Source organism: Homo sapiens, chromosome 20, assembly GCF_000001405.40.
Source record: "Homo sapiens chromosome 20, GRCh38.p14 Primary Assembly".
Taxonomy (NCBI): Eukaryota; Metazoa; Chordata; class Mammalia; order Primates; family Hominidae; genus Homo; species Homo sapiens.
In genome coordinates, this window is record NC_000020.11 from 32,127,006 (window position 1) to 32,139,099 (window position 12,094).

The 12,094-nt window shown below is 44.0% G+C and overlaps 1 protein-coding gene across 5 annotated transcripts in view, besides 1 other annotated feature; it reads left to right on the plus strand.

The window, feature by feature from the left end:
- Window positions 1–12,094, plus strand: part of TM9SF4 (transmembrane 9 superfamily member 4) — a 57,543-nt gene that overhangs the window by 17,292 nt on the left and 28,157 nt on the right. For 4 of the 5 annotated variants that reach the window (NM_001363731.2, XM_017028155.2, NM_014742.4 and 1 more), the window contains exons 2-3: window positions 6,008–6,121; window positions 9,069–9,168. In NM_001363731.2, coding sequence (NP_001350660.1) covers window positions 6,044–6,121; window positions 9,069–9,168 — 178 coding nt within the window. In that variant the 5' untranslated portion in view covers window positions 6,008–6,043. Of the gene's footprint in view, window positions 1–6,007; window positions 6,122–9,066; window positions 9,169–12,094 lie in introns of those variants that run through there. The other variant, XM_017028156.2, reaches the window with a different exon arrangement.
- Window positions 6,277–6,436: an enhancer, noted in NCBI's record as "active region_17711". NCBI's record gives its function as "activates an Ori minimal core promoter by ATAC-STARR-seq in GM12878 lymphoblastoid cells {active_cell/tissue: GM12878}" and the evidence as "EXISTENCE:reporter gene assay evidence [ECO:0000049][PMID:35858748]".

The window sequence follows — 12,094 nt, forward strand, 5'->3', positions numbered from 1 at the left end:
TTACAGGCACGAGCCACCGCACCCAGCCTGTTGAACTAATTTCTGTCCTGGTTTGAACATGGGCTTTGGGCTCAACCAGGCTAAATCCTGTTTAATCCTAATATTGTTCACTGCTAATCCTGAGAGCCTGTCTGACTCTCAGTTTCCTCATCTGTGAAATGGGAATAATAAGAGTCCCTACCTCATAGGATTGTTTTCATTGAGTTATTCCATGGACAGAACCTAGAATTGTGCTTAGCACGTAATTAGCATTCAATACATGTTAGCTGCCATTGTTATGAACATCATCGTTACAGTCTCCTCATTTGTAATGCAATTCATCTGCTTGAAAAGAGCATCCTTGTTCCTCCACTTTCTGGCTGGATGGGCAAGTTACTTAACTTCTGGGTCTCTGGGTCTCAGATTAACACCATCTGCGAAATGGTGACCAAAATCTCCAGGTACCTGTAGTTGTGAGGATACCACAAATCAATGTTTGTCAGTGCCTAGCAGGGCGCAGGGACTTGGTAAGTGGAAAGAAGGAACCCGGTCTGTCACTGTGCCTTGTGCTTAGGAGGTGCTCAGTGACTCTGGCTTCTTGTTGTTTTTTGGTGTTGTTTTCCTGTTCGGGCATTCTTGTTGTGTCTTTTTGTTTTTGTTTTTTTATGTGTATACTTGCTCCATTGGTTTGAGACTGGAACAAAAGTGTATTGAAGTCTTTCAGGATTTGCTTTTCATTCCTCTGCAACCTGAGCTTCGCAGAGAGCCCTTGAGTTCCCTAGGGTGGTGTCTCTCAACTAAATCTGGAGGATTCTGTTTCAAAAGAAGGTAGAACTGCAGTAACTGCTTAGACTTAATTGGCTTGATAACCAGAGGAGATTGTGATCCCCTGCACTGGTTTCAAATCACCTATCAGATGAGACAAAAAGGTCTGGTGTCCAGCTTCTTAGGAGACATTCAGAACACAGGTTATTGATGAGCAAGAAATAATGATAATCATACTTACATATAAGGGTTGTGGCTAACTGCTTATTAATGCTTTCAAATTCATGTTCTTTTTTGAGTTCCACTTCTACCACATGAATCCATCCTAGTAAATGAGGACACAGCCCAGCAAAGTTGAAGTTGATTGCCCAGTGCTGCACAGCTGAGGGGAGGGTATAACTCCCTGGCCTTATTTTGGGGCCCCAGGCTCAGTGCTTTCCCTAGCATATGATAGCCACCCCATTATTGGTTGTCAAGATGCAGTTTTAAATCTAGTCAAAGAGAAATACAGACCACTACATCCCTTCTGAGAGGTTTGTATCATCTGGGATAGACACTTCTACCTAAGCAGTGGTTTTTGACCCTGACTGCACTTTAGGATGACCTAGAGCAGTGCTGCTTAAACTTTAACTCAGGGAACTTGCTGAAATGCAGGTTCTAGGGTAGGGCCCGTGATTCTGCATTTCTTTTCTTTTTTAAAATAAAATTTAGGAGGTACCAAGTGCAGCTTTGTTACATGGGTAGATTGGGTAGTGGGGAAGTCTGGGCTTTTAATGTAACCATCCCCCGAATAATGTACATTGTATGCAGTAAGTAATTTCTCATCCGTCACCACCCCTACCCTTCAGAGCCTCCAATGTTATTATTCCACACTGTGTGTCCATGTGTACACATTATTTAGCTCCCACTTATAAGCAAGGACATGCAGTATTTGACGTTGTTTCTGAGTTGTTTCACGTAAGATAATAGTCTCCAGTTTCATCCATGTTGCTGCAAAAGACATGATTTTATTCTTTTTTATGGCTGAAGAGTATTCCATTCTGTGTGTGTGTGTGTGTGTGTGTGTGTGTGTGTGTGTATACATTTATACAGTGTCCCAAGTCCTAGGTCTCCCTGAAGGCTTAGAAAGAAAAGGTGGGAGGTGCTGCTGGAAAGGCACTGGGGCCGGTGGGTGGAAGTTCCTCCATACCAAGCTAGGATTACTCTAACCTCAGTGTTCAGAACAGTGATGTTTTCTTTTGCCTCATTTATTATTTAAGTGGCATACATACTATATAATCATCTAAGAAAATTAGAAAATATAGATACACAAAAAAGGAAAAAAGCTCATCACTAAGACATTTTGCCTCCTAAATATTTTTCCAAAGATAAAAAAAAAAAGGAATCCTGCCACACAGTGTTCTAGCTCCTGCTTTTACTATGTAAATCTAAAGCTTGAACATTCCTACTCAAGAAATGTATCGGCCAGGTGCAGTGACTCACACTTATATCTCAGCACTTTGGGAGGCTGAGGCGGGAGGATTGCTTGAGCCCAGAAGTTTGGGACCAGCCTGGGTAATATAGGGAGACACTATATTTACAAAAAATCAAAAAAATTGCGGTGCATGGTGGCGTGTGCCTGTGGTCCCAGCTACTTGGCAAGTTGAGGTGGGAGGATCTCTTGAGCCCAAGAGGTTGAGGCTGCAATGAACTGTGATTGCACCACTGCACTCCACCCTGGACAACAGAGTGAGACCCTGTCTCAAAAAAAGAAAAACATGTCATCACTTTCAATGACCATTTAAATGGACATATAATAATTTAACCCATTCCATTAACATTTGACATTTTACTATTGTAAGTAGTGAATTTTTTTTTTTTTTTTTTTGAAATAGAGTCTCCCTTTGTCGCCCAGGATGGAGTACAGCTCACTGCAACTTCCGCCTCCCGGGTTCAAGCAATTCTCCTGCCTCTGCCTCCCAAGTAGCTGGGATTACAGGCATCTGCCACCACACCTGGCTAATTTTTGTTCTTTTAGTAGAGATGGGGTTTCACCATGTAGTCCAGGCTGGTCTCGAACTCCTGACCTCAGGTGATTTGCCCCCAACTTGGCCTCCCAAAGTGCTAGGATTATAGGCATGAGCTACTGCGCCTGGCCAGTAGTGAACTATTTTAAATAATGTTATTGGTGAACACCCTTTCATGTATACATTTTGGCATACCTGACGTATTTTTCTTAACATGCCTAGAAGCAGAATTACAGAGTCAAAGAGTATGTACTTTTGGGGGACTTTTGGATACAGAGTGCCAGATAAACCCGCAGTAGTGTTCCAGTTTATAATGCCTATAGCCATGTGAAAATACCAAGATGGTGACATTTTAATATCTAAAATAGACAGTGCCATCGGATACAGCCATTAGTTCTAAGTTGAACTTCTGAATTGCTTTTGGTTGCCAACTTCAGTATTATATTCAAAGATTCTAGCATATTACGAAAATATCCTTTGCTGTTTTTCATCTCTTGATCCTTCTAAGATAAATTGGTGTGTGATTTGTTGATAGTATCTTTGTGTGAGGATTGTTTTTCAAAAATTTAAGCTTGAGGTGTTTTGTTTTGTTTTTTAACAACTTTTGGGTGGCTGTTTTTGCCAACAGTACAGGATTTGCCTTCTTTATATTTTGGTTAACTGGAATTCAGGAACAGAGGGGAATTAGAGGAAAAAAGAGGGCAGGGTTTATTTCTCTCACATGACACACTTGCGTTCTAACCAATGACACATGAGGGTTGGCAAAAGCTTCCAATGAGGAAGGGCCAGAATCTTCAGATGCCTAGTCAGGTGGAGGAGGTCCTCTGACGCAGAGGAAATCAGATGCTGTACCCAGCCTGCAGTTGGTAGGCTTTCCATCACTACTCAGAGAGAAAGAAGAAAAATCTATTTGTTTTTGTATTCAAGCCAACCCATACTATGAAACCCTCCCCTTTGTACCAGCATAGAATGTCTCTAGAGAGATTTTCAAGGAACTGGTGATAGCAGTTGTCCATGGGGACCTGGAGTGGGAGGATTTGTTTTTCATGGCATACCCATTTGTACTGTTTGAATTATTTACTGTAGTTTGCTTTTTCAAAAAATGTTCACGCTAGTTGCTTTTAAAAAGCCTTACTCGCTTATGGTTATGCAGGATGTTAGCATTAGGGGAAACTGGGTGAAGAATGTATGGGAACCCTCTGTAGTGTCTGTGTAACTCTTCTGCAAATCTAAATTTACTTAAAAATAAAAAGTTCTTTTAAAAAAAAATGACAGAGGGAAAAAAATACTGTCTTCCTATCCTTCCTATCCAAATTGCCCCATGAGGCAATTTACCTACTAGTCTTGTCATTTCTTTTAAAGATTTTCCTGCTCTCCTGATTCATCTGGCCTCCTGATTGCCAAATACAATACACCTGTCTTAGCCATGGCACTGTGTTTACTGGAGTCAGGCTTTCCTAATGAACATCAGCTGGCAGATACTTGTAAACGTTCACAACAAATCGGAGGAAAAACTCCATGAAAATATTGCTTAAAAGACTTTGACCAAGCTATGTGTCTGCAAAAAGTGTACTGAATTCAGAACCTTTTACAAATTCAGAAACTTGTAAAGCCATTTTTCCCTCAACTTGTAGTCCAGGTAAAAGTACAGGTCAGTCTACATTTTTGGCAAGCCTCCTCAGTGATCCTGATTTCCTATAAAACTGAGTTTCACAGAGTCATCAGAGTGTGTGTGTGTGTGTGTGTGTGTGTGTTGGTTAGTTGGTTGCTTGGTTGGTTGGATGGGGTGTAACTTGATGGATGGGAGGGCTGTGGAGACAGGTGATCAGGAGGCTGTGGCCAATGTCCAGGTGGGAGGAAATAAGCATCTGAAATGCAACAGCAGTGAAAGGTTAGGGAGAGTAGTCAGATACAGAAACTGACTTGAGTTGGTGATTTAGGCGTGTGGAAGACAAAAGTTCGTTGTTCAGACTGCGTAGAAAGAAGAGAATCCGGCAGCTTTTCTAGTTCCTTGCAGGGGTGAAGCACTATTATTAAGGGAAAGAGATGCAATGGACCTTTCTTGCCTTTGATTCCCAGGTGCCTATGCTGCATGCAGATATTTCCTGAGTCCCCATGCTGTGCCAGGCACTGTTCGTGGTGCTGCTTTCCTAGAGATCACATTCAAGGGTAGGGGGACATGCAATACGCAAATAAACATATACATATAGTACATGTCAATTAGATAAGTCCATGAGGAGAAATAGATAAGGGACTAGAGAAATGGGTAATGGGAGCCCTGAGGTTGTTTTTTAGATAGAATGGTCAGTGCAGACTTCTCTGAGGAAGTGATATTTGAGAGACCTGAATGAAATAAGGAGATGTGCCATTGGGCGTGGTAGCTCACACTTGTAATCTCGGCACTTTGGGAGGCCGAGGTGGGCAGATCACCTGAGGTCAGGAGTTGAAGACCAGCCCGGGCAATGTGGTGAAACCCCGTCTGATCTAAAAATAGAAAAATTAGCCAGGTGAGGTGGTGGATGCCTGTAGTCCCAGCTACTCGGTAGGCTGAGGCAGGAGACTCACTTGAACTTGGGAGGCAGAGGTTGCAGTGACCTGAGATCATGCCATTGTACTCCAACCTGGGTAACTCCGTCTCAAAAAAAAAAAAGAAGAGAGATGTGCCGTGCAGGTGCCTGTGGGAAGGGCATTCCACCAGAAGGCACAGTAAAGACGAAGGCCCTGAGGGGTGCAGAAAGGTTTGTTGTCAGGACAACAAGGAGGCCCGTGTGGCTGAGCTGAGCGAGGAGGAGAGTGGGAGGTGAGAGAGGCCAGCACGGTTTTGGAGAAACTTGTAGGAACATCTCTTGGTAACATAGGAGCTTTTGACAGCGTGAACTAGTTGCTATACAGAGAAATGGGAATTAATTAAATGTCCTGGAGCTTTATTTCCTGCCAGCTATCCTGGGAGTTACACACTATAAATGGTTAAAAGAACATTGATCCAGAAGTGGGGAGACATGGCTCCTGTGTGATAGTCTTCCCTTTTGCCCAGATGTTAATTACTTTGTGGCTAACTCCTGGAAGTGCAGAATTGTCCTGTGGCACTCTTGGGAGCATTTGGGAGAGAACATTTATGAGGTCTTCAGGCTTCATGGGTCAGAGGGTGGCTACACTGGGTCAATTAAAGCAACATGAAGGTGGTATGACTTGATCTGCCTCAGAGGATCTTCTTCACTTCTTCTCCCCAATCCAACCCTGGCCTCTCTTCTGAGCAGGATTGGTTGCCGTGGTCTTTACTGCTTTTCTCCCTGATGTGTGAAACAAGCGCCTTCTATGTGCCTGGGGTCGCGCCTATCAACTTCCACCAGAACGATCCCGTAGAAATCAAGGTAAGTGTGTTCCTGGATTTTTGGAGCCTCTGTGCTAGGCAGTGTGTCTGGAGCACCATGGTGAGCTGTTCGTGTCCATCCTGTGGTTGCAGAGAAGAAAGAATAGTGCCAGTTACCCCGGAACTCTGCCTCTCCCTCTCCCTGTGCCTCTGGTTCTCGGTCCCCTCTCTGTTTCTGGTTCTTTCTGTGTCTCTGTCCCTGTGTATGCTTGTGTATATTTGCATCTCGGTCTCTTTCTCACTCTCACTTTTGCTTTCAAGTATTCTGTCTCTGTCATGTATGTGTCCATCTCTTTTTGTGCCTTTGTCTTACTCCACCTGCCTCTTCTTTAGCATCTCTGCCTCCCTTTCTCACCTGCTCCATCTTCTCTGTTACCAGCTTTGTCAGCATAACTCCTAGTGTCTGCTCATATTGTTCATACATTGTGAACGTCTCTTTTCCTTGGCAGTCAGACTTGTAACTTGCAGGAACAGTCATTAAAATAACTTTTACTGAGGGTTATTTACATGCCAGGCATTGTGCATGGCTTAGCTCAGGTTGCCCCCCAAGAACCCACTGGGGCCAATTCCATATGTTACACAGATTTCCTATTCATTTTACAGATGGGGAAACCGAGGCCTGGGAAGGAAAATTAACATGTTCAAGGTCACATAGTGAGGAAGACATAGGGTTAGTTCAAACCCCATCTCTATTTAGAGGAGACGTGGTCTTTCTCTGTTGCCTAAGCTGGAGTGCAGTGGCGTGAGCATAGCTCACTGCAGCTTTGACCTCCCAGGCTAAAGTGATCCTTCTGCCTCAGCCTCCCAAGTAGCTGGGACTACAGGTGTGCACCACCATGCCTGGCTAATTTTTTTTTTTTTTTTTTTAAGTAGAGATGAGGTCTCACTATGTTGCACAGGCTGGTCTTGAACTCTTGGGCTCAAACAGTTCTCATGCTTCAGCCTCCCAGAGTGCTGGGATTATCGGGCATGAGCCACCACACCCAGCCCAAGACCCCATCTCTTAACCACTGCAGTACCTTCTTCCCACTACCTCTGTCAAAAGCTCCCTCCAGAGCAGAGGAGTGGCCTGGAGGTACCAGAGCTGCTCTGGCTTCCAGTCCCACATAGCTAAGTATGTGAGGGTGGACGCCTTGGGTGGGAAGAGAGGGAGTGGGAGGCAACGTAAAGGTGGGACGCATCTCTCTGTAACGTGCATTCTTTTCTCATTGTCCTGAGTGAGAATGCTAAGAAACACAAAATTGTTAAAACAGACTTTTTGGCCATTTTTCCTCAAGCAATTCATGAAATGTTTAATAGAGGTCCTTAATCCCTGCAGTTTCACACCCGGAAAGCTCTGGAACTCAGTTTTTCCAAGCTCACTGAAGGCAAGAACTGACCAGAACTGAACATGAAGCTGTTTATTGACTTTTTCTATTCCACTTAATATGAATATCTTTGCATTTCTCTGCACAAATAGTTATCGAATATGAGGTACTGTCCAGACCCAGCTTGGCTATGGTTTGTATACCACATTGCCTTCTAAAATCTGGAAATTTTCTTTTTCTTTTCTTTTTTTTTTTTGTGAGATGGAATCTTGCTCTGTCACCCAGGCTGGAGTGCAGTGGCATGATCTCTGCTTACTGCAACCTCTGCCTCCCAGGTTCAAGCAATTCTCCTGCCTCAGCCTCCTGAGTAGCTGGGATTATAGGTGCACACCACCATGCCCAGCCGATTTTTGCATTTTTAGTAGAGACGGGGTTTCACCATGTTGGCCAGGCTGGTCTCAAACTCCTGACCTCAAGTGATCTGCCCGCCTCACCCTCCCAAAATGCTGGGATTACAGGGAATCCAGAAAATTTCTAATCCCAAAAAAGAGTTGAAAAAAGATTGTAGACCTGTATTCCAAAAATCTTTTTTACTTTTAGGTGGTGTATGAGGAATGGTCAATAGTTCCTAAATAGTAAAGGTAGTTTTACTTACATTTGGATTAAAATTTTATTTTTTGTAACATTTCGATGGGTTCTATTTTGTCTGTGGTTTCCAGAGCTATATTCTGTGTGCTTGTAGCATTTCCTAAACATTCTTCTTCATTGTCTTAAACCTTATTTTTTTATGGCTTTACCATATTTAATTGAAAGAATATATCATAGTTTATTGATAAATTTCCCATTGCAGGAGCTTTGAGTTGAAGTTATTTTTCATTTTTCCTCTCTTCTCTCATTCAGCAAACATTTAATGAGTACCTACTTTGTGCCTAGCTCTAAAGCACTGGAGTTACAGAGGTGACCAAGGCACACGTGGTCCTTGTCCTTATAGAGCTTAAATCTTAGATGCTAATGGGAGAAACTGATTTTTTAAAAAACAGGGAAACTAATTAACATTTTATCAGATATGCTATGAAGTAAACAGTTGAAGACTGACAGTCCAGTGGATACCGGGGAGTTCCTTTAGATACCCTGGTGAGGTAAGGACACAGGCAAGGGGAGAGCTGAGACCTGAATATGAGGAGAAGCCAGGCGAGCACACAATAGGGCAGAAAGGAGCAGTAGGTCAAAGCCTGAGGCAGGAGAGAGCTTGACTGACTCGAGGAGCTGAAGGAAGAAGATCACTATGGTTATGAATAAGGAGTGAACTTCGTTGCTCCTAAAATGCTTTTTTTCCTTATTTGGAGTTATTTCCTTAGGAAAGATGCCCAAAAGTGAAATTGCTGTGTCAAGGGATAGTAGCATGTTCAAGACTCTCACAATGTATTGAATTTGGTTGTGATTCTCAACTATATCTGTAGTGTAGTCTAAAATGAATGAAATGTGAAATAATTCAGAATTGTGGGCAGTACATTATATAGTGTACTGCTGTCATTTCTGCTAATTCGTTTGCCTATTAGTTAATATTACCAAGTGTACTAAAGATGTGTGGGTACCAGGGAGGATTATTGGTCATCTTGGTTTCTGCTGGATTCCCATCAGGCTGTGAAGCTCACCAGCTCTCGAACCCAGCTACCTTATGAATACTATTCACTGCCCTTCTGCCAGCCCAGCAAGATAACCTACAAGGCAGAGAATCTGGGTAAGTTCTTCTCCCACACTGCTGTCAACTTGTCCCCAGGGGGAACCCAGCATGATTTTTATAATGATAACAACAGTTAACTTTGCTATATTCTAGACACTGGTCTACATTGTTTGCATACCTGTTAGCTTATTTAAACCTCATAACAGCCCCGGGGAGACAGTTGCTGTGTTTATTCCCATTTTGCAGGTTAAGTGACTTGTCTTTGTTTATACTGTGGGCAAAGGCATCCTCTGTTTTCTTCACAAAACAGCCAGAGTGATCTTTGTTTTGGATCCACAGTCAGTCTTCAGACTTGGAGCACTTGGCTTCTATTTACACCGCCTCTTCTTGATTTCTAGATAGCTCCTCTCTTGCGGCTTCATCACCTCCTCTGCTTTAAATGGAAAGAGAGAGCGAGTGCCTCTGCCCTGAATGCAAGCAGAGATGCCACCACAGTTCTTGCTGAGCTCTGCAGGACTCATGTCAAATAATGTGTGAGGCACCCAGTGCAGTGTCTGACACAAGTATTCCATAACTAGTAGCCATTTTATTCTAATTTAAATAATTCTCCATTTGACAGAATTTCAGGTGTAGAGGTGTCTAGTCGTACACAGTTATTAGTGCCTCCTCTGTGACTGTGTTAGGTCCTGGAGATAAAAGCATGGAAAGGTGTCTCCCTGACCTCAGGGAACTTAAGAGACTTTCTTTTCTTACACCTTAGGAAGGAGAAAGGAGAGAACTGGTTCTTGAGCAAGCCCCTGAAAGGGCTGCCTTCTCCGTCAGGGCTACGCATGGCTCAGATGTTTCTGGAACCTCTAGCTGACAAATTTATCTACTGCCAGGTATTGGGGGTCCTGGACCAGTTGGAGGCAGGCCTTGGAGCCAGTTTAACCAAAATTGGGTAGGACCATCTCCCCCTAATACCAACTGTGCCGAAGTCTTGCCTTGTAGCGTTGAACAGAGATTGGCCTCAGAGCCTGGGCTGGCCTCTACCAACTGTCTGCAGTGGTGCAGCTTGTGGCCCTGCCACTTACCATCTGTGGACCAGTGCCTGCCTGCCATTGCCCTCCTTTCCTCACCACACCATGCTATCCTCCAGCCACCTTGCCTCTCCCCGGGAAGCCTGACCCACTTGGTGCCCCAGGGTCCTGATATCAGGCCCCTCACAAATGTACCTCCCTTCTCCTGGGAGCTGCTGTGGACCCTTTGGCAACCCAAGGCTCTATAGTTAGGCACTCTTAGTATGATCCTGGGTGACCTTAACCTCTCTGAACCCCTGCCAAATCTTCGTGAAGCTGGGGAAAGTTCCTGCCTCATAGAAATGGAGATTTCTGTATACAAATGTTATCCTGCCATATTGCATCTCATTCTGTCTTTGTAGTGCCTGCCTTCATGGCCTAAGGGCTCTTTGACTGGAGGGATTGTGTCTCACATTCCCCTCTCTTCTCAGCTTCTAGCCCAGTGCCTGACACATAGTAGGCATTCGATAATTGTTAGTGTTCTACCTGAGTGGAGCAAAACCATCCTTGATTGCGTGACTGTTGGATTGTAAGCCATTTACATCATCATCCTCATCATCATCATTAATACCTAGAGGGCTCATCCTATGAGCTGGGCACTGTTCTAAGCATTCCTGTGCCTTAACTTACTTAATTCTCACAACTCTAACTTAGTAATTCTCACAATAGCATGTAGATTCTCTTACTCTCCTTATTATAAATAAGGGAAGTGAGGCACAAGGAGGTGAAGTCACTCACCTAGTAAGTGACGGAACTCCAGGAACTCTGGCTCCAGAATCCATGCCCAAGCACCACACTGTACAGCAGCTTCTGTGACTCTGATAGTAACTCTGTAAGCTGAGTATTTCATAGTAGAGGGAACAGCAGCCTCAAGGGTTTGAAAGACTTAGTCAGGGTCACATGGCCAATAGGTGGAGAAATTGAGATTTTTAACTCAGGTTCTTTTACCCTAAAGCCAGAGTTCTTTCTGTTGTCGCAGGCTGCCTTCTCCAGAAAGGCCCATAGGGCTGTCTGAGGGCTGTGCTAATGGTTGTCACATTGATGGAGATCCATGGCATGGTGTATGTATTGGAGCAGCTTTGGCAGGTGTTCCGGATAGAACCCTGGACTCTTTGGGAGGCTCCACATTCATGGCTTACTGCTCATTGTTAAAAGGAGTACTTCCATGTATAAAATGAGCCATTTCGCTCATGCCTGTAATCCCAGCACTTTGGGAGGCCAGAGTAGGCGGATCACCTGAGGTCAAGAGTTCAAGACCAGCCTGGCCAACATACTAAAATACAAAATTTAAAAAAATTTGTAAATTTGTAAATCTCTACTAAAAATACAAAAATTAGCCAGGCATGGTGGTGCACGCCTGTTATCCCAGCTACTTGGGAGGCTAAGGCAGGAGGATCGCTTCAACCCAGGAGGCAGAGGTTGCAGTGAGCTGAGATTGCGCCATTGCGCTCCAGCCTGAGCAACAGAGCAAGACTCTATCTCAAAAACAAAACAAAAACAAGAAATAGAAATGAGCCATTTCCTGACCATTATGTCCCCTTTCTTGGCTAAACTTAATTTTTAAATATCAAGAAGCGATTCCACTGTACTTGGTCTGCAGCCCTGTTCCTCTCTGTAGCTCTTTCTCTCCTCAAGCAAGATCCTCATTGACAGGAGATGAAATAGGCAGTAGGAAATGGTATAGAGGAAAGAGGCCAGGGATTTAGCATTACCACCACCCCCTCATATCACCACGAGCAGGTCTCTGATCCTCAGCTTGTCATCTATAAAATGCCATTTCAGCAGTGGGCTCTGCAGATATCTTACTGTGTCCTCGCTCTTCACTGGCCAATCCATCCCTGGGTTTTGCAGACTCACCTGCATTGCCAGCCTTCCAAAACAGGGTGGAGGGGTGAGGCCTTCATCCATGCCCTTCCTCAATCTCT